Source organism: Homo sapiens, chromosome 12 (assembly GCF_000001405.40).
Source record: "Homo sapiens chromosome 12, GRCh38.p14 Primary Assembly".
NCBI classification, from domain to species: domain Eukaryota; kingdom Metazoa; phylum Chordata; class Mammalia; order Primates; family Hominidae; genus Homo; species Homo sapiens.
In genome coordinates this window covers 72,648,231-72,670,826 of record NC_000012.12, presented here as the reverse complement: position 1 = coordinate 72,670,826, position 22,596 = coordinate 72,648,231, and the positions used below count along the sequence as shown (strand labels likewise).

Sequence of the window (22,596 nt, the reverse complement as noted above, 5' to 3'; positions counted from 1 at the left end):
TTGAATGCAGAAAACCTGTTAAAAAGCAATCTGAAATGCATTTCAGGTGAAATCACTTTTTACCAAAGTGCAGATCATTTCATTTATTCTAAAGGCATATAATTAGAAAGGAGAACAAATTGTTTTTATTTTTACAATATAGCACAAATATATGTTTTTATTCTAGCCTCAGCATGTGTATAGTCATGAAAAAGTCCATGTCAGAAGAGAATAATTTTTTTCCATTTGCATGGACCTCTATAATATATATACTCAAAATTTTAAAAATGTATTTTCAAGTGAAAAAAACAGATGGTATTATTTATTTTGGCCTTATCTGCATGTCAGAAAATTAAAACTTTTTAAATTGTGACACATTACACATTGCTGTACAAAATTTGATTATCAGAGGCAGAATTCATATTTTTTCTGCTTAAAATACAGAAGACAAATTTTCTCATTTAGGGAAATCAATTTTATTAGTGCTTGGTCAGAAAAGACTAAAAATTTCATGTTGAATACGTACTAATTCAATTTTTACTGAATAATTTTAAAGGCATACATTGAAAACATTTATCTGCTAAACTAACAAAAGGTTATTTATTTGGTCACTGCTTTATTAACACTTATTTACTGAAAGAACAGCTACTTTTTAATTCCTAAATCATAAAATGTTAGAAAGGAAAAGTGCTTTTATATGACATATTTTAAATAAGCCTGTTCACTTGGGGAATGGATTTAGGAAAGTAAACTTTATTACTGAATAAATTTAGGTCCACTCAAAATAGTTCATAATATTTTTAAAGATTATCTAATAAACTCAGTGGTGTCCAGAAAGCCAATTATGAAAGCTCAAAGATAGAATTTCTCTTATTGTTCAAGTAACTAGACAATGCATAATACAAGCCCTAATCTTTTTTAGTTTTTCAGCCCTAATCTGTTTTCGATATTATCAAAATGCAAAGGGATTAAAAGATAGCAATGAAAAATGAAAAATGAAAAATATCTTTATATGTGGCAATATATAGGTAGCATTCAAAAGGATAATGTGGAATTGCTGTTACACAATATTTTGAAAGGTAGAATACAACATTTGAGGAAAAATTCACTCAAAAATGTTTTGCATTTGAGATTTGCTAGTTAATAAACCTATTTTAAATGAAAATTAATAGCAAAAACTTAATAATGAATGTTCTCACTGAGTAGGTCATACGCTATGTAAAGGTGGGAACAAAATTGTTTACAAGAGCAAATGCAATACTGTGAACATAGTAGAGGTTAAAAGGGTAGCTACTAAATGATTAACTTAAAAAGTAAATGCACTGTACATTTGAGGCAGATGTTCTTAACTCCACTGTAATATTTTCTATAAAACGTTTCACTCTTTCCTTTACTTATATGACATAAGAAAAATGTGTGTGATGAGAAATAAGTTGACCTCTGCAGAGGCAAGTCAAAGCACTTATCTTAGACTGTATCTTCACACAGCAAACCCATTGAAAATGTTAAGTTTAAGTAAATTAAGCAATTGCAGTCCATGTATACTTCTAAGCAGAATGACAGAGATACTTCTCTGACCTCACTGCTAAGCAAAAGGAAAGTTCTGGCTAGACTAATATGTCTCCTCCACATGCAAAGACAGAAGTTTAACCTTAACTTTGTGGTCCACTCGTAAAACCTTTGCAATTTATTCTGTCTTTTCACTTATTTTTTTCATGTGTGTGTGTGTCTCGTTGGCCGAAATATCTGTTAATTACCTGTTATAACTTAAAACCCACTACACAACATGCTAATGTAAAATGTTTTCATGAAAACTTTTTATGGAACGTATAAAGCAACTTTGTTAAGAAATGAATGGTAAACCAGAATGCACAAATTAATACTTCTTTCGAAAGAGCCAGTGACAATGATAAAGTGTGCTAAGTACCTATTCAAATCTGCTATAGAGAATGGTCTGTACGGATAAACATTATGTTTTCATACATGCTGAGGGCAGATTAATGACTAGTTTGAGCTATATAAGGCTTCAGTTTGCAGAGTTTTGAATCCAAGTGAATACCACTAATTAATTATGTAAACTGATAACAACTCTGCCTCCATCTACTCTTTGGTGAATTAGAGCTAATGACATTTCACAGGGTTATTAATTGATGTGATACCAATAGACATATATTAGAAGACACCTATAAAGTGCCTAGCATTTAGTAGGCATTCAAATTTTTGTAGCTTCCCTTTATCTTAACTCACTTAACATTAATACAGCACAAACATTTAATTCAAAACAAAAGAATCAGTCATTTTGTTTTCTTTTTCTTAGTACATTAATAAATGAACTAGGAATGTACAAAAGATAAACATCTTCAAAATACTATCCCTAAAGTACGAAGTATTTGAAATAAAGGCCATTAAAGTGGTATGTTTTCAAAATCTGGGGTAAAATCATCTACTAGTGGGGCCAGTGGTGAAAAACCTATTTAAAAAACAAAATGCATGCAATGGCATATATGTCATATAGTTAACATTAGAACATATATTTTTAACAACTGCTTTTATTAAATATTTAAGACAGTTTAAAAACTTTCCTTACCTAAACTTTAAAATAAAATTTCACAAAATAAAAATAAAACTACTGAAGTACATTTTTGTTAGACTTTTCCTGAATCTATATCACATTAAATAAAATACTTAATATTTTAAAAAACTTCATCATTAGTTCAAAGCAATTGAACAAAAGGTTGTTCTTATATAATTAAAATTTGGGATTCTAGAATAATTTACAAGAACATTTTTTCATAAGTTCACATATACTAATTTCAACAAATAAATTATGCTTAGGACAAGTATTATTTAATCTGCTTTAAAGAATATATAATTAACTTAAAATTAACACATTGTGAGATACCGATAGTATGCTGAAACCATTTTAGAAAACTTGAACTACTTTTTCGTAAGTAGATTAAAGTATTCCTGCAACTTACTAATACTACTAAATTGTTTAAACAGCTTTTCTTAAGGATAAATTCCATCCCAATTTATATTCCAATTATTAGAGTTTAAACTCTATTATTTTATTATAATTTCAAAATGTAACATATTTCTGTAAAACACAAGTAAGCACTAGGAAATCAAACAATAAAAATTATACTAGGTATCATAAATGTTTTGAGAACTAGTGTACAAAAATAGTTGTATAATATTATGTATACCTAAAAATGATTGACTTCCCGTCTGTAGCAAGGAATTATTTTTCCTGTTGCCCTCATTCCCTTGGTTCATTATTTCTTTTTCTTTTTCATTTATTGTAATATGAGTTCATTCCTTCAGGCCATATTCATCTCTGTATTCCTTTCCCTCACTAAGTGCCTTGTGAAATAAAAGATGCTCAATAAATATTTCTTTAAGTATAGTTATATATTGTATCTATACAATATATATTCTTATGTATTGTCAAATGATAATTCAGCTATGATCTCTGATAATGAAAAATTATCTCTGATAATTATCTCTGATAATGAAAAAATCAGGTGTAAGAAATCTTAATTATTTTTCATTATATGTGCTTTTACTATTTCTTTATTAGGTGTACATGGTTACTTCATGAGAGTACCCAGGCGAATAAGCAAGCTATTTTAGGTTCTCCAACTTCTTAGAAAAGAATTCCTTAAAATTCTAATTGCCAGTAGATTTTAATTAAATATATTATTGTAAACTTCCTTAGGGATTCCTTTACTGCATCTAATCCAGTAGTACTAAAATTGCATTGTTTTTCACAACTTAATCTGCATAGATTTATAGACATTTTACTGAATATTATTTTTACTGATTGAGATGCACACAATTTATCTGCATTCTGACCATCTGTTACTATAGACAGAATTTGTCAGATAAATTTGTGTTGAAAATTAAGCAAATTATCAGTACTTTAAGGTTATGTTTAAACAATGTTCAATAAAAGATACAGACAGGAAATATAATTAATAAACTAAATGAATTAAATTATTTGTCCCAATATTTGATTATTTATACTGACCAAATTAAATCATAACATTTCATCCAGTTGTTTAACATCCTGCAAATTAGAAATGCAAAAGTTAACAAACAATGGAATTATTGCAAATATATTTAACTGTGTATTTTGATGCTGGTCTAGTATTTGGAAAATCTCCAATTAATGCAATCGATAGAGATATTTTCAACATATATTTATATTTTAGTTGGGGAATGATGTTGTGATAGACTTAGGTTGTTATATTGGTTCCCAAAATAACAACAAACATTGTGATTTTATTTTATTTTTTTAGAGACAGGATCTCACTCTGTCACCCAGGCTGGAGTACAGTGATCATAGCTCACTAGAGCACTGAACTTTTGGACTTAAATAATTCTCCCACCTCAGCCTCCCCAGTAGCTGGGACAACAGGTGCACACCACCATGCCTGGCTAGTTTTCATTTTTATTTTTATAGAAATGGGGCCTCAATATGTTTCCCAGACTGGTCTCAAACCCCTGGGCTCAAGTGATCCTCCCACCCTCAGCCTCCCAAAGTGCTGGGATTACAGGCATGAGCCACTGTGCCCAGCCCTATTTTGTAGTTTTAAATAGCTCATGTTGCTACCTGAGCCCCAGTTTTCTCATCAGAATATTAGGGCTCACAACATTTATTATGTTTTTGTGATGAGTCAAATAAAACAAAATGTGTAACAGTTCTTTGAGAAAGCAATGCATTTTATCAATACATGGCATAACCTTAATAATAGCCTCACAAGATATTATACTTATAATATTTGTAAATAATACTATCACAAAAATCTTAGTCCTATGATATAATTGTCCTGGAGATAATATAAAATAATGCAAGTTTATGACCCAACTAAAATACATGTTATTGAAACTCAAGAATAGACCTAGTATTGTAGATGTTAGTCTTAGAGGTTGAGATTGTGTATTTTAGAAACTTCAAAGATTATAGAAAAATTTTAAGAAAAAATGTGTAAAAATGGGGAAATCTTTTTATTTACGAGTTACCTGGAAATGTTTAATACTCAATGTGATAAATAATGTTGTCCTTTCTAATTGAAACTACTTTTTTGTACACATATTGGCACAGCAAATTGCTATGGCTGGAGGTTGGACACTTTCAACAGTTAGTTATTTCATGCATACATATAATTTGTAAAGCCGACAAAAAAGAAAAGATAAAAACTCTAAGTAGAAAATAGAATTTTATAACTACGTTTTACAGATTATTCCAAGAGATATCATTGGTTATTTTATTCTTTTGAAAATATTACTTATTTAAACAACTAAAAAAACCGGTAAAGCCTGATATAATTTCAACATTAGAAAGAATAAATTATTGAAAAATATGTAGAACAAAAACACCATCTTAATGCCATTGGTACCACTATACTGTTGAGCAAGTATTATATGAGGTATTGAACATTGCACATAATTATACACTTAGGATTTGAGATTGTAGATAAACCAGTTGTTCAAGGCCACTAAAATACTGAAAAAGGATTATGATTATTAACAGTGAGGAGGAAAATACAACTATAAAAGCCCTTCAAACTCAAATCTGGAAATGGTAATTTTACTCAAAAATATACCACAACTACTAAGAGATTTTAGTAATTCATGACACAAAACAAGACATCCACCTCTAATTTTTTTCTTATCTATTACATGAATTCAGTGGTGATAGACCACATATTTGGGACCTCCATCGCAGTGTGATATTTAGTATTGTTATATTTTAGAAGTTACTCATTTAATTAAGGATTTTATAAACGTGATATGTGGTAACTGGATTTTATCATTTCTGATAAATGGAAAAAGTTTAGATTTTATACTAAAAGTATTATCATGCCTATTCACATCATGTAAAATATTTAAAATTCATGTATTTTAATTGAATGAAGTGCTGAAAAATTTAGGTATGACTAATAGGTATTACTTGCTTATATGATAAAATTCAGTTTTAGGTGGTACTTTATTCTATAGATTCGGAAATAGCTCCTCTTTTCTACTAATTTAAAATAATTCTATGGCTCTGGTTCTTAAAATGTCTAATTATTTTCACTATTCAGTGCGTACTGTTAGAATATATTTCTTTCAATGATTTGTAAGATTTGGTGGAGTGAAAAACCTCAGGAAAATAAGACGTGATTTACAAACATTTGGCTATGTAGAGTAGTTGCATTGGTATTTTATACTGGTAAACTTAAAATATGCTAATTTTGAAGCATCTAAGCAACGTTTGGAGAGCTGGCCTACTGGGTGAGAATACCATTTAAAAACATTTGTGTTACACAACACACAGCCATGAAAATGGCTATTCAAAATTCCCAGGTAGAACACAGTTGTCAGTGCCAAAAGAAAAGCTTTGTACATTAACACAAGAAAAGGAACTTTTCATCTTAAGGGATGGCACAACTGGCACAAAAGGTCATTAAATGCTAATAGACCCACTTGAGGTATGCTCGCTTAATGGAGGATTAGAGCAAAACAGACTTAAAAGACCAACATGCAGAGAATTTTTTTAACTCTCTGGACTACTCAGCATAAGGTAGGAAAACAAACAAGATGGAAAATAAACTCTTTTTCAGCACTAATAATTATAAGTTTGCATAATTGTTTCATGCAAAAGGAACTTTGACAGAAAACGATGGCAAAATCTATAGGCAAGACTGACACAGGAGAACTGGAATAGTAGTTTATACAAAAATTTTGTTTGTATTCATCTTCATGTAGCAGAATAGACCACTGTTCAAGAAGTAGATGAAAAATTCATAACAGTTGAGAAATTTAGTTAGGACATAGAAAGAATAATGTTGAGATAAATTCCTTGAAGCCTTTTGCAACTGTCCTTAAGTTTATAAAAAGAGATAAATTTTCTTTGATCTGAAGACATTCTTTGTACATGTGCAGTGTACAACATACTATATACATATGGGGCTTCCCTATGTACATATACATATGCATACACTATCTATATGCCTTTTAAAATGTATACACAGCTTTAACTCAAAGAAAATGAGTTAGCAACACAGTAATCATTGCCAGACAATCCAAGTGCTGAAATAAGTGATGTTCATCATGTCAAGGGCTATTTTACCTCTCACATTGCCCAAAATTGAGAATATCATTTCTGTTTTTAGTTTTTCTTTCATTGCAATACTGATTGTCATATATAATCTTTGTGCTTTTGCATAATGCCCATCCTAGGTGTAACACATATTCACACACAACACTGGACGTTTGAAATAAGCATGCTGGAACACAGGCAGGACAATATATCCATGCACAGATATTCTGAATATGTTTTTCCAAATTGACTGTAACATCAACATGCATCACTATCATATTTGGTCCTGTACAGCAAGGAATGTACAGCTGAAGCAATCATGGCTAGTTTCACTTGCAAGAGTTTCTTTAGAGAGGAACACCCAGTAGAGAAACAGAACAGAATGAATGAAACAAATAAAAAATATCCCCCAAAACCAAAAAATAAAAACTAAAAAAAAAATTCCTCCCACACGTTAACACTGAAAATCTGGCCATTTTCTAGGTAGTACATTTTCCTCATTCCACAAAAAGCGTGTCTTCTCATAAACTTCTGAGTTGAATTGTTTGTTTATAAGATACATATATTAGTGTCTTAGAGCTTTTCCTAACCATTGGAAAAGCTCGTCTTGGTAAAGCATTTTCCAGCGCACATTGGCTTCGACAGTTTCCACAGCTCGTGAGAAAGAAGCAGCAGCTACCCCATCATAGTTTTTCATGAAGTTCTTGAGCTGGAAAGAGAAATTTTTAAATGGTAAATCTGCCTGTCTTAAAAAGAACTCATGTCCAACAAACATGAACAAGAATCTATTTGAAACATTAAAAAACAATATATTTGAAACAAAATGCCATGACCACTATAGAAGATATATTTAGTACTGTGGAGTGAGCTTGGCAACTGAATGAAATATGACAGATTATGTCAATTAGTTGTGATGTAATTGATTTTGGAACAGAAAAAAAACAGTGGACATTACAACTTAAATAGCTCCAAATTCAGCTTCATGTTTCATGATTAGATATTAAAACAGACATTTAATTGATCATTTCAAAATCAGTTGATGGGATTGTGGCAAGGACTAGTTCTAACTTCAATGTGTATACAATGCACCAAGTAGCCTTAAACACTGAATATAAGGATTAAAGTTCACATTTTGTCTGCAGAGAGAAAATTATTTTTCATCTTCTCCAAATGAGTGGTATTGGGCTTGACATTATCTTTGATGTCATTGAATAACCAAAGTATTGTCTAGTGGAAAAAAAGTAATGGTGCTATAAAAATTGTATGATTAATGACATGGCAATCACCTGCGTAACTAGATTTTGAAAGAATAAAGGAGGGATATGGTCTTATTTAGCTGGAGAATCTGAGCATTTAAGTTATAATTCTTAAATGTTTTGCCATATTTTTTGACATAAAATTTTATTTGGAGAGTTCACATACTCTGGAAATACTCCAAGATTTTACTTCAAGATTAAATACCAGAAGTTTTTCCTTTCTGTTTGATATATCTTAAGAAGCTGGCAATGAACTAACAATTGTGATGCTAATAGACAAATGTGAAAAATCAACTTGCAACACAGAATCATTATGTGGTGTAATTAGTGTGGGGTGTAATTCATCATATGGTGGGCACCACATGGAAGATATGCCAGGAGGGAAATGCAGTGTATCAAGATTGGCTCAGGGGCAGGCAGAAATGGTAGTCAAGGATGGAGTTAAAATGCGGTTATAACTTTCTGAATTGATTTAGAAATTAGTTCATGGATAGCTTAGTTTATTTATAAGTGTTACTTTGATTACATGATACTGATGGGTTTTCTCAGAGTTTTTACTCTGCTTTCCTACAAAGCCCTTTGCCCAGCAGCATTAGCAATGGATAACTGTATCTCAGAGGTACATCCTTTAGAAGATTTCTAAATCACTGTGCTTTCATAACAAACATGTAAAATAGCCAATGTATAACAAAGACTTATGGGTGTTGTCCTTAAAACTGATATGGCATTTGACCAAATTACATATATTAAGAAAAAAGGAAGAAGCAAAGGGATTGGAGTTAATAAATATTAATGTTGCAGACATTGTGCCATGGGGATAGAAATATATATACACACATATATAAAGGGGGAGTCTAATGGAAGTACTTGAATCATAATTTTAAACTTTATCTGATTAACACAAGAATACATTTGTACTTATATATTTATGTTCAGACTCATCCAGTCTATATCCTTAAGGCAAAAAGTAATACATTTTGATCTATGTTTTGAATTTTGTTTTAATTTATTATAAAAATATGATATTATAATGGCATTATTTACATGTTATAGGTCAATCGGAAAAAAATTACATATGCTCCTTTTAAAGTATATTCTGAATTATTACTTTTTTTCCTAGGCAGTCACTGAATACACCAGAGAGTCATAAATGACCCTTTAGCAACTTTAACTCTGTGGAGCATGCTCTTGGCTTCCTTATGAGATGGTAAGCCAGCCTAAACACATAAAGTAAAACTCTTAAGTCCTCCTCAAAGGCAAACTATGGGTTTGAATATGAACGTTTATTGACAGAGAGATAGTAGGTTGGATTATCCTGCAAAAGAACTCTCAACAGAAAATGTGAACTGGTGGGTCTCTAGAGATTCACTTCTTAAATCATGATTTAAGTGCAGTAAATACTCCCCTTGTGGGCTCAGAGAGTCTGAGGTGCCTCATATGTATCTTAAGAGGAACTTACTCATCAGAACACATCTGGCCTACTTTCTACAGTTGCCATTAATTGATCTTATGCCCCATAATTCTCCATAGCTCTGATATCCAACATGTGGTTGGAATTGCCTCTGACTGGCCCTAGCGCATGCTCACAGTGCCTTACAAACCCCTGCCTCACCTTAGAGGGCTTGGGGTAAAAGAAAGGCAGTTAGCATTCTAGTTTGCTTATTTCTTCCACTCTTTGGTAGGATTTATGCTGCCATTTGTGGGCGAAGAACTACCCGGGTGCCGAGGCAAGAGACTGAAGGCACAAACTGTAGCAGTGTAATAAAGAAAATAGTTAGAATAAAGAATAGTTATAATACAAATTAGATACAGAGATGATCATGGACAATTATCAATCATTAGTATAAACATTATTAATCATTAGCTTTTAATATTACTCTTTGTTGCATTACTAACATAAACTAGGAATAACCGGCGAGTATAGGGTCAGGTGCTGAAGGGACATTGTGAGAAGTGACCTAGAAGGCAAGAGGTGAGCCCTCTGTCATGCCCGCATAAGGGCCGTTTGAGGGCTCCTTGGTCAAGCGGTAATGCCAGTGCCAGGGAAGGCACCCGTTCCTTATCAGACTGCAAAAGGGAGTCTCCTTTCCTTGGAGGAGTCAGGGAACACTCTGCTCCACCAGCTTCTTGTGGGAGGCTGGATATTATCCAGGCCTACCCACAGACATCCAGAGGCCTAAACCCCTCCCTGTGGTGCTGTGCTTCAATGCTCATGTTCCTTGTCCACTTTCACGTTCCTCCCGTACTTCTGGTTCCTCTTTGAAGTTCGTAGTAGATAGCAGTAGAAGAAATAGTGAAAGTCTTGAAGTCTTTGATCTTTCTTATAAGTGCGTAGAAGAAAACGCTGACATATGCTGCCTTCCCTCTCTGCTTTGGCTACCTAAAAGGGAAGGGCCCCCTGTCCCATGATCATGTGACTTGCTTGACCTTATCAATCACTTGGATGACTTATCCTCCTTACCCTGCCCCCTTGTCTTGTATACAATAAACATCAGCACGCCCAGCCATTTGGGGCCACCACCGGTCTCCTCATCTTGGTGGTAGTGGTCCCCGGGGCCCAGCTGTTTTCTCTTTATCTCTTTGTCTTGTGTCTTTATTTCTTACAATCTCTTGTCTCCGCAAGCGGGGAGAATACCTGCTAAGTCCTGTAGGGCTGGACCCTACACCATTAGTTTTTGTTTTTGTTTTAAATTGTGTTTTCTAACTATACCATGATATGATTTTATTTTAAAATGTTGCAACTTTAGGCACTTTTATAAAATAACATTTAATAAAATGGCAATGTTGTTTGTGCTCCCTATCTTCTTAGCATAAAACTTTGAAGCATGTTTGTTAATTTTTCTATTAAAAAGATTTCAGCATTAAAATTTCCTCTTATTTCAGGGTATCCTAGATATCAACATCATAAGATAAATTATTTTTAGAGTAGATTGTAAAACATAATATACTCTTAATAACTATGTAAATGAATAGAATTAACTATTGCCCTATTACAAAGTTTATATCTTCAATATTAAAACTGTAAATGTAATGCCTTTGATGCATAGGATCTATGTTCCTCCACAACAGTGAGGTATGTTAGGTTTAAAAAGCAGAAAAATGGGCATGTGAAAGGACTGGTTAATAGTCATTAATGTGGAAAAATGGCAAGGGCCTCTGAGGTTCAAGAAGATCATCTCCATTAGTTTAAAATTAAATAAATAACAGATTGCCTTATGAAGAAATATTGTTCAAATTGCTAGAGCCATGCAATTAAAATTAAAAGGAAACTCCAGTTTCAGGTACTAGAATACTGTTTTTGGGAGAAAACCATGGAACAATGTAAGCGTCTTTACTGAATCCACCTAAAGCTGATGAGGATCATTAAAATCTGGAATGAGTTTTCAGAATTCATAAAGATGCTGATTCCCTTTTGATCTATAAACCCTTGGAAATAAGAATATGTCATATCCAAAGGGAGCCCATTGGGCTTTCTGCTTATGAGGCTTATGGGTTATGGTAGAATGCAAGTGAATTCTCCTCAGACTTTTCTATTTAAGAAAGGGTGGTTATCACCATAAAAACCAAAACCCCCACCCCATCTGACAATAATGTTCCTCAATCTTAGAGATGATGTAAGTATTCAAAAGCCTCAGGCAGCATCTGTTAAACTGCTAAGCCAGAGTAAATAACTCCAGAGTGAAGAGATTCATTCCTCATGCCACTTAGAGACTGCACTGTGATGTTAGCTGCTTTGTAGATAATGAAATAAAAGCCATAATTTAGTTTCAATTTTGAAATTATACCCTTCATTATAGGAGCACTTTGAAACATCTAAAATGGCAATTAAATAAAGTGTAAAAATTTAATAAATCAGTGAAATATGTAAGACAAAACAGTCAGTATGTGATAAAATCAATTAAATGTCTAAAATATTTTCTTTTCATAGCCTGGGTAATACCAAGTCCAGGAAAATATGAAAGGCAAACGGAGTTAGAGGAAAGCAAGAAGAAGAAAAATTAAAGAAGGGATAAGAGAGAGGTAGGGAGGAGAGGAGATAAAAGAGAAGGAGAGAAGCACAGAGAACGAAGGAAGCAAACAGGAGAGAAGAGAAGAGGGAGAGATTTTGCTCTGTGCTCACTTCAATGGCTGCACAGGTTGTGACTAAATGAGTCTTTAATTCCCAGATTATTGAATGTGAAATCATGAAATTAAAAGTACTTCATTTAAATACAGAGAAAATTGGAAGCAATCATTAATTTACTTGTTCTTTCTTTCTGTTTTTTATGGATATGAAAACAGTCCTTTCCATTTAGCTTCCTTTATTTAAAAAATAGTAAAATATGTTCTGGGGCTTTCAAATTTAATCCTTCAGGGTTGGGAACACACATAGCAGGGATAAAGACTGAATTTCAAATCATTACAATCAGAGACTTAGCTTAGCTTAGCTCATGGTGTGAAAGAAACCAAGTTAGTGCACACGGGATAATCATAGGAAACTGGACAATATTAGAAGATATTAAGGATGGTGCCAGGGTTGATGCTTCTAGGGAATGGTGCTCAGTGTGGTTAGCTGTGGGGCACAGCATTAGGCATTCTGTCAGTGAAAACTGAGAAAACCATCATTCTCAATGTCAAATATCAGCTATATTTTACAATGGAGAACAGGAGCACAAGAAAAGGCCATCAATGTTTGAAGTGCGATCCATTGTAATCAATTAAAAGAGTCTATATTTTGCTTATTTTTCCTTCATCCTTAACCCTCTCCCCATTTCTCATCTCTCTATATTAGTGAGGTGACTTAATGGCAAAACAAACAAACAAAACTAGCTGGCTTAAATTTCCAGAGTAATAAACCAGAAACAACATAGTAAGGAAATGTTAGATACTCCATAACCTGGACACCAGTCCTTAAAAATCAAGTTTATTTTCACTAATAAAATTCACTTGTGATTGTACCAAGCAGTTTTAAAGCAATTTATTAATCTCAATATGTATTACCAGATATGCTCCTTTCTACGCTTAAGAATTTGTTTCATTTAAGAGGCTACATAGCACAAAGCAATATTATTATGTACAGTATGTCCGTTGTCTGTTTAAGGCTGACCACAAAGCAGTGAGACACATGGTCTATATCTCAACACCAACCTTTGTCCATTATACAAATACTGAGTCACTGACAGGATGGTTTTGTTATTTAGTGAATCCTACAGTGGGTTAATAGAATCATTTGAGGAATAGCTGATTGGATCAATGATCTCTGAAGTGGATTGTGGGTCTCCAGGTTTGAAAATTACTACATTCAAACATTCCTTGCAGGCCTTCAATGTTTGACATGTAAAAATACTCTTTGCAAATTATGAATTGAGTAGTCTTTAACGTGTGTGTGTGTGTGTGGTGTGCGTGTGTAAGTAAAAGGAATGGATGTGAATCTGTTGGAAAGAAATGACTGAAGTAAATGCATAATTTCAAATGTTTATAAAAGAAAATAATTAGACTTCATCTTAAAATATTTACCTCTTTGAGTTCACCTTCAGTATTAAGAAATTCTGTGACACCACTGATGAGTTTGGAATTCATAAACAATGCTTCTCCATACCTCAAAAGAAAAAAAGAGTCTTAATGTCAATGCAGGTCATAATTTTAAAAAATATTACTATAAAGATTTTTTAGAGTTTTCTCAAGGGTTCGATTTGCTCAGTGTTGTCAGAGACTGCCAGATCTCTGAGCACTCAAGCCCATTTCTCTAGGGAGTCAGGGAGGGACAAAGAGTTATGGCTTTGGGATATCATCAGGTCCCACCTAATATGGTTCACAGTGTTTCAGAGAAGTCTGAGTTGTAGCAAATTTTTTAAAGGGGCCCTCTAAAACTGGATTTAGGGATTAACAGTATATTTCCAAGCCAAGGCCTGAGAACAAAATATTTTAAAACTTTCAATTACAAAGCAACCTAGCTTACTGGAAGGGAAAATGATTCCATAAAAGGCAAGAGGAGCTGCAGGATCAACCTGGGCACTGTCAGATCCTTTGATATGATTAGTCATAATTGACACTGGCATTTTCATATTATTTTATTCTTAGAAATTGAGGCAAAATGCATTCTCAAAAATGCATTTTCTTATTTCATTCTTAGAAACTGATGCAAAATACATTCTCAAAAATGCATTTTTATATTTCATTCTTAGAAACCGAGGCAAAATGCATTCTCAAAAATGTTCTCCAAAATATTAGCTTTTTTCATGTGTACATTAAAGTAAAACATCTACTTGTTCATTTGGATTGCCTAATCCTTGTACTACAGACACAATTACTTGACTTTTGACCCAAGACAAGGAACAACTTGTGTCAGTGAGTTGAAAAGAATACTCATTTTACTGATTTGTCCCTTCTATGCTAAGGATACCTATCACAGATTATCATACTTTTAGAACTAAGGTGAGTACAATAAAAATAAGACTCTGGGTTTTTAAAGACAAGGATCTACACACTGTTATAATAGGTTTTCCAGTGCTTCCCTAACTTGTAGGCTCTTAAGCATCTAATTTAAGATTTAATTTAGCTTCTGTAGAACTTAGTTTTCTCATCTATAAAATGAGAAGGTTGAACTAAATGACCACTGAGATTTGTTGTAATTCTGACATTGAACTATTCCACAGAAAAAAAGCTAGCTAAGTAAAAGCAAACAAATAGGCATTCAATAATAATGTAAGTGATCATTTTCAATCAGTATGTGGGTACAAAATTGTCCAATTATGCAGGCAAATAACAATTTTTTTCTAAAGAAGTGTTAGTTGTTTTTACTTATATTGTCCTGTGAAGATATAATAAGAAAATAATAAGGTACAGTCTGTTCCTTGAAGGTATTATACTATCCACTTGAAGAGCTAGACATGTAATCAGATAATTTCCACGTATTGTGGCTAAATGTGGTGATAAAATTATACACAGTGCTCAGAGAGGATTTCTTTATCTGTAGGGTCTTGGGAATGGCTTCTGAGAGAAAATGGCATCTAGATTGACCATGGAGTAGTTCTGAGCAACAGGAAAGAAAGTAATTTTAGGCAGAAGATGAACATAAACAAAGAAAAAGAGACGTGAAAAGACATGGTTTGTGCAGACAACTACAAGCAGTTTGATATTAACAGTGCATACAGGCCAAGGCGGTGGCTCACGCCTGTGATCCCAGCACTTTTGGGAAGCTAAGGCAGGTGGATTGCTTGAGCTCAGGAGTTCAAGACCAGCCTGGTCAACATGGGGAAAACTTCTCTCTACAAAAAATAGAAAAATTAGCCGGGTGTGGTGGTGTATGTCTGTAGTCCCAGCTACTCAGGAGACTGAAGTGGAAGGATCACCTGAACTCAGGAGGTCAAGGCTGCAAAGAGCTGTGATTGTGCCACTGCGCTCCAGCCTGGGTGACAGAGTGAGACCTTGTCTCAAAAAACAAACAACAACAACAACAACAAAAATTAGTCCATACACTGATACATTGTGAGCCTGAAGATTGAAGAACAAGACGCTGACAAAATATGCAGAGGACATATTAAGGGGCTTAAATTATAAATCTCACATAGAAAGTTTTATAGCAGGGAAATATCACATTTGCTTTTCTGAAAGGTTCTTGGGATGAAGGGAAGAGGCTAAAGTGTGTTTATATAATTATAGAGGCAGTGAGACAGAAGGCTATTATTGTAAGAGTACTGGGAAGAGATGAGAACCTGCACTGGGGAAGTGGTCACAAAAAAAGAGAGGAATAATTCAACAAACTTTAGAAAATGTTAAATTGATATAACCTAGAGTCTAATTGTTATATATGGCAAGAGAAAAGGGGACGCCTATGTAGACTTCCAGATGTTGGGCTTGAGCAATTGGTGGATGGCTACAAGATTTACTGAGAAAAGGAGGATAAAAGAAAAATCACCCATTTAGCTTTGCAGGCACACTCATAAAGGAAACCTCTATGGCCAATTATCCATCACAGGGAGAAAGGCAGGGAAAATGTCTGAATTAGAGATACAGATTTGGGAGTAATTGAAACCATGAGAGTAGAAGGCATCTAAAATTAGGAAGAACTTGCAGAGTGGGAAGAAGAGTGCCTTCAACAGAGCTCCGTGAATGCCAGCATTCAAAAAATCGACAGAGGAGCAGGAGCCAGTGAAGATTATGCTCCTATTTGTCAGTGTAAACACCATCGTATTTTTAGATAGGATGGAGATCATGGATTCAGTGAGACAAAATAAGCATATCAGGAACCAAACATTTTTTGGTAGGCAATAAACTATATATGCCTATAATTGCATTGCCCTGAACGCTGATTTACAAAACCACTCCCTAAAGAAACTGTGTATTGGTAGATGTTTGATATTCTTTTAAGTTAAATGTTTGTATACATTAATTTTACCTTAAGTGTCTATTCACTCTATTATATGCACAAAAGCAAAGCAAGCTTTAATCGTCCAACTATTATAAGATCTGAGCTGAAAATATTAAAAAAGTCAATGTGTCTTATAGAAATATCAGTGTTTTCTGACAATGAAATACCTATGGATAGAGTGTTTTAATATGACACAGCCATTCTAATTGAACTGATTATACCAGGGCAACTGATGAAGGTATGCTTAAAAATAATAAAGTTTATACACTAGCTTTTCAGAGACAGAACAGTAAGTCTGCTTACTGTCTGGGAACATTTAAGTTAAAGAAAAACAAGCAGCATTTACATGCTTTATAATAAATTGAATTTTAATAGGCCATAGAGATTATCAGAGTAATAAATTAGTGTGTATTATAATATATTTAAATGCATAATGAAATATCTTATAAAATTGAGGCTAAAGAATTCTCACCATGAAACAAGATGTCCTGGGAGTAAATTTTACTGCAACTGGAATTATACAATGATTCAAATGATTAATATTCCTTCTCTATATCATGGTTTTATTCAGGTATTTTAAGATATTTATATTTAAAGAAAATTTAAAACAATTATACGGAAGTAATTAACGTTTTATTTTTATAATACCACTGTATTTATAAATCATTTCTATAACATATTCAAGATACAGGGGTTTTATGATACAGTGTCTTCAACTTTGGACAGTCTGATAGATTTTCCAGGAAAGTTGCTCAGCTAAGCCTTTTATACTCCAAATGTTTGCACATATAATTAATTAAGTTTATCAATTTTAATAAATGAATTATAGAATTTTAAAAATAATTTGGAGTTCCACGGGAGTGGCAACATTTATCTTGGTTGAATATTTTAATATCTAAACCTATTGCATGGATCTTAGCTTTAACACAAAACTTGGGCCTTTATTCCTCCTATGTCGGCTTTAATTTACTCATTCAAGTAAGAATTCTAATTTCTACCTGGTATTTAATATCTTCCATTTATCCCTGAAAAACTTCCAGGCAAGGTCTCGACCATGTGGATTTCGAGCTACATGGATTATGACATCAATTGCATCTTGATCCAGCACCACCTCAGAATTCAGTGACAGATTTAGAAGCCTTCAAAGATAGAATTTTGTAAAAATTTTTAGTCCAATAACTTAAACATTTTTATAATCTTACTAAAATTATAGGACCTAGTTTGTCATATTCTTCAAAAGAATAGTCTAGTGCAATCTTTAATAATGCAAACTTATAAATAGAACACATTTCTGTTTATAAAAGAGGATCAAACTCATAGTATTTTAATTAAAAACATTAAATTCTAAAAAAATCTTGTGAAAGGATATATCACAATTCTGGTTTGATGATTCAAATTCTCCTTTTAAATTCTTTATATTAAACACTTTTATAATAAAATATCTTCTTAAACATATATAAATTATATAAAATAAATACTCATAAAAAGATATAACCTCTGAAATCAAGTAGCTTTAGTCATTAACATGGCAGTTTTCCTCATGTTTAGGAAGATATATTTTAAAATAACTAGCATATATTCAAGTAAATAAAAGCAACTTCAGAGCAATTTGATTAACAGAATACTTTCATTAGAGAAACACATTTAGAAAATCAGTCGGCCTACCTGTTTAATAAATTCCTGTCATCACTGCAAGTTAAGGCTTCCAATAATATTTTCTTCTCAGAAACTGCTGTGGTGGAATGGAATTTCATCCATATGAATTCCCAGACATCCTCATCCAGTAGTGACACTCCTGTACAGTATACGATGTCTCTAACATTTAGTGGTATTCTAAAGAAGCAACCCATGGTGGTTTTCTGTTAATTAAAAGCTTAACAGTATTGAAAATAAAGACAGGTTTTGCTTTATTTACTACAGTCAGTTTTTTAAAAGATTATTTTGCTAATTAGATTTTACCTGAAACAGAATACTACACAGTAATAATATTTTAAAAATATTTCTCACTGGATGAATAAAATAATGTCTTTTATTCAAAGGTAGTTTTGAACATAATTATTATTTCCACTCTTGACTATACTTAAACAAAAATAGTAACATAAAGGCTTCACAAACCCATGAAAATAAGGCACTTTATCTTTTCACCAACTTTAATATGGCTATTACACAAAGATTTTGCTCTCATAATTGGTAGACCCAAGAATGTCAAGAAAGTACCAGTTGAGGACACTAATTAATTTGGATAGAACGGAAACATTTTCTCTTAAATTCTTAGATAACTTTCTCTATCAGTAATTTTCTCAAGCAACTCTCCAAATTTTGGAGACCTAGAAGATTATAAATATAGGTAATAAACAGATACCAAAATATAAGTAGAAAGTTATTTTTTCCTATGTTTATAAAATAAAATATACTAAAATTTGACTTTGATCCAAAATGCAATATTATAGTGGGAAAGAGTAAATTTAATTAGACTTGGCTATTCATAAGTTGAAAATTTTCATCCCTACTTTGCCTTAGTGATTTTTCTTACTAAATATTATTTCTTTAAGTTTTGGTATGTACCCTACATTTACTGACTTTTTAATATGCTTCTCTGAAAAATGCTCCAATACTTTTTTTTAAAGTTTCAAAATTTAATTTTGCTTTTTTTCAACATTCACTAATCTATTATCAAATTTCTCATTAATAATTTGAATGTGGCAGTAATATACTGCTTTCTCTGGATAGCAAAAGCAAACAATGCCTTCTAAAGATTTAGGACCATGATGATTAAAATACTGCTATGATTAAAGGAGTATTTGGAAAACAGGAAGAATTGTGTGAATAACTACCAGTAAGATGATCTGAATCTCATTTTGTTAAGCAGCTAAGAAGGGCTACAATCAGAATATGTGGCACTATACCAAGTGTGTAGAATTCTAAGAAAGTATCATACAAAATTAATGTTCCCAGAAAAGGCTAAACTTATTCTTTTTCAGCAAATAAAGTATTTGGAGAAACGTTACTTTAATTTTGTTAACTGAAGCCCTTTTTCCTTGTGGCATTAGAAAACATTTTGTTTGATTTGTTTTTAATGAAACAAAGGAAACACAGACATAGAATAAACCATTAAAGAGCTTCACATCTTTCTCTTGTTTTCCATCTCAGCACTGGAAGCCCTGTGGAAAGTACCAACAAAAGCCTTCTCAATTATTGGTGACATGTTCTCTCTGCTGTGTTTATGACCAGCTTGACACAGGGCATCCCTGAAATCACTAAAGGCATTGCCACCACATTTTGAAGGATGTGCTCAGTTCTGGTTAAGATTACGGAGATGCCTCCATCTTTAATAACTTAAATCAACAGCTATAAAACAGAGTGGGTCTTTTCCTCTGTATATTTATAGGCTACAGAGCACAACAGTGCATTATTGCCCTACTTTTGCCAAAAGAGTGAATAAAAACTTGCAAGAAAAAAAAACAACAAAATATCTACTGAAATCACTAACCCATCAATCAATGTACATTTCCTTAATATTAAGCATGATACTATAGTAAGTTTACTTTCTAAGATGTATTTATTAAGCAATTAATACACTAGAGAGAATATAGGGATAGAGCCCCTTAAGTCAGGTTTTTTGTATCACCTATAGAACCAATCTCCAATATCAATGTTCAAGAAGAAAAGGCATGTAGAAATATAGAAAAAAAAGTAACAGAATATACTAAACTATGTTGCCTGGAAGGCACTTGAGTGCCACATACTATACTGGTGCCATATATGACAGTTACCAGTAAAAAGTACCCAGCCCCTGGCAACCATCATTCCACTCTTTAATTTCATAAGCTTCACTTTTTAAAATATCTCATATAAGTGGAATCATAACTGTCTTTCTGTGACTGGCTCTTTCACTGAGCATAAAGTCCTCCAGGTTCATAAATATTGTCAATATTGAAAAACGTCGTGCTTTGTAAAGGCTGAATAGTATTTCATTGTATGTGTACACTACGTTTCCTTTATCCATCCATCTGTTGATGAACATTTAGATTGTTTCCACATCATGGCTAATGTGACTAGTGCTGCAATAAACTTGGGAATGCTAATATGTTTTTGATATTTTGATTTCAATTCTTTTAGATAAATATCTACAAATGGGATGCTGGATTATATTGTAGTTCTATTTTTAGTTTTTTGAGAACATTCCATACTGTTTACCAGAGCAGCTGCACTATTTTGCATTCGCATAAGCAGTATGGAAGGGTATTGATTTCTCCACAACCTTGACAACATTTGCTGTGTTTTGTTTTTTTTGATAATAGCTATCCTGAGTGTGAGGTGATATTTCATTGTGATTTTCATTTGCATTTTCCTGGTGATTAGTGACTTTTTTTCACATAGCTGTTGGCCACCTCTATGTCATCTGGTGAGAAAAGTCTTTTCAAATCCTTACCCCTTTTTGTAATTGGATTAATATTGTTTTCCTATTGAGTTGAAGGAGTGTCTTATATATTTTGGAGATAAACCCTTATTCAGATATATGGTTTGCAAATATTTTCTCCCATTCTGTGGGTTGCCTTTTTACTTTTGTTGATTGTTCCCTTTGCTGTGCAGAAGCTTTTTAGTTTGATGCAGTCCCACAATTTATGTTGCCTCTGCTTTTGATGTCATATCCATGAAATCATTGCCAAGACCAATGTCATGAAGTTTTCCCCTATGATTTCTTTAAGAAGTTTACAGTTTGGGGCCCCATTTAACTCTTTAATTCATTTTGAATTGATTTTTGTGTACGGTATATAAAACAAAGGTCCAATTTCATTATTTCTTTTGCATGTGGACATCCAGTTTTCCCAGCACAATTTGTTGAAAACACTATCTTTTTTTTTTTATCTTTTTGTGTATTTGTCACCATTGTTGAAGAACAGTTGAGCATATATTTGTGAATTTATTTTTGGCTTTATATTCTGTTTAATTGGTGTATATGTTGGTCTTTATTATAGTACCATATTATTTTGACCACTGTAGCTTTGTAATATATTTTAAAATTAGCAAGTGTGATTCCTCTAGCATTGTTCTCCTTTCTCAAAATAGGTTTGGCATTTAAAGTAGTCTTTTGTGGTTCCATATGAATTGTAGAATTGTTTTTTTTTTAAGTGTCATTGGAATTTTGATAGAAATTGCATTAAATCTGTAGATTGCTTTGGATAGTATTGCAATTTTAAAATATTAATTCTTCCAATCCATGAACATCAGATGGCTTTCCATTTGTGTCTTCTTTATTTTCTTTCATCAATGTTTTATGGATTTTAGTACATACATTTTTCATTTCCTTAGTTCAGTTTATTTCTAAGTATTTTATTCTTTTGAAAGTTTATTTTTGTATTTTTTTTTCATAGAGATGGGGTCTCTCTATGTTTCCCAGGTTGGTCTCAAACTCTTGGCCTCAAGTGATCCTCCCACCTTGGCCTCCCAAAGTGTTGAGATTACAGGCATGAGCCGCCATGCCCAGCCTATTTTATTATTTTTGGTGCTGTTGTGAGATTGCTTTCCTGAGTTACTTTTCAGATAGTTTATTGTTAGTGTACAGAAACACTACTGATTTTTGTGTGTTGATTTTATATCCTGAAAATATACTGAATTTGCTTATTAGTTCTAATGGTTTTTGGTGGAGACTTTAGGGATTTCAACATATGAGATCATGTCATGTACAAACGGACAATTTTACTTCTCCCTTTTCAATTAGGATGCCGTTTATTTCTTTTTCATCCCTATTTTCTCTGGCTAAGGTTTCCAGTACTATGTTTAATACAAGTGGTTAAAGGAGGTATTCTGATTTTGTTCTTGGTTGTAGAGGAAAAGCTTTCAATTTTTCACCATTGAGTATAATGTTAATTGCAGGCTTTTCATATATGGCCTTAATTATGTTGAGGCACTTCCCTTTTATT

The 22,596-nt window shown here is 32.7% G+C and overlaps 1 protein-coding gene across 4 annotated transcripts in view; it reads right to left on the bottom strand.

Moving 5' to 3' along the window:
• Positions 1 to 68: 68 nt before the first annotated feature.
• Positions 69 to 22,596, bottom strand: part of TRHDE (thyrotropin releasing hormone degrading enzyme) — a 583,493-nt gene continuing 560,965 nt past the window's right edge. For 3 of the 4 annotated variants that reach the window (XM_017019244.2, NM_013381.3, XM_011538248.3), the window contains 4 exons: positions 18,338 to 18,505; positions 17,671 to 17,811; positions 13,819 to 13,900; positions 69 to 7,775 (listed from right to left, as the gene is read on the bottom strand). In XM_017019244.2, coding sequence (XP_016874733.1) covers positions 7,632 to 7,775; positions 13,819 to 13,900; positions 17,671 to 17,811; positions 18,338 to 18,505 — 535 coding nt within the window. In that variant the 3' untranslated portion in view covers positions 69 to 7,631. Of the gene's footprint in view, positions 7,776 to 13,818; positions 13,901 to 17,034; positions 17,183 to 17,670; positions 17,812 to 18,337; positions 18,506 to 22,596 lie in introns of those variants that run through there. The other variant, XM_017019243.3, reaches the window with a different exon arrangement.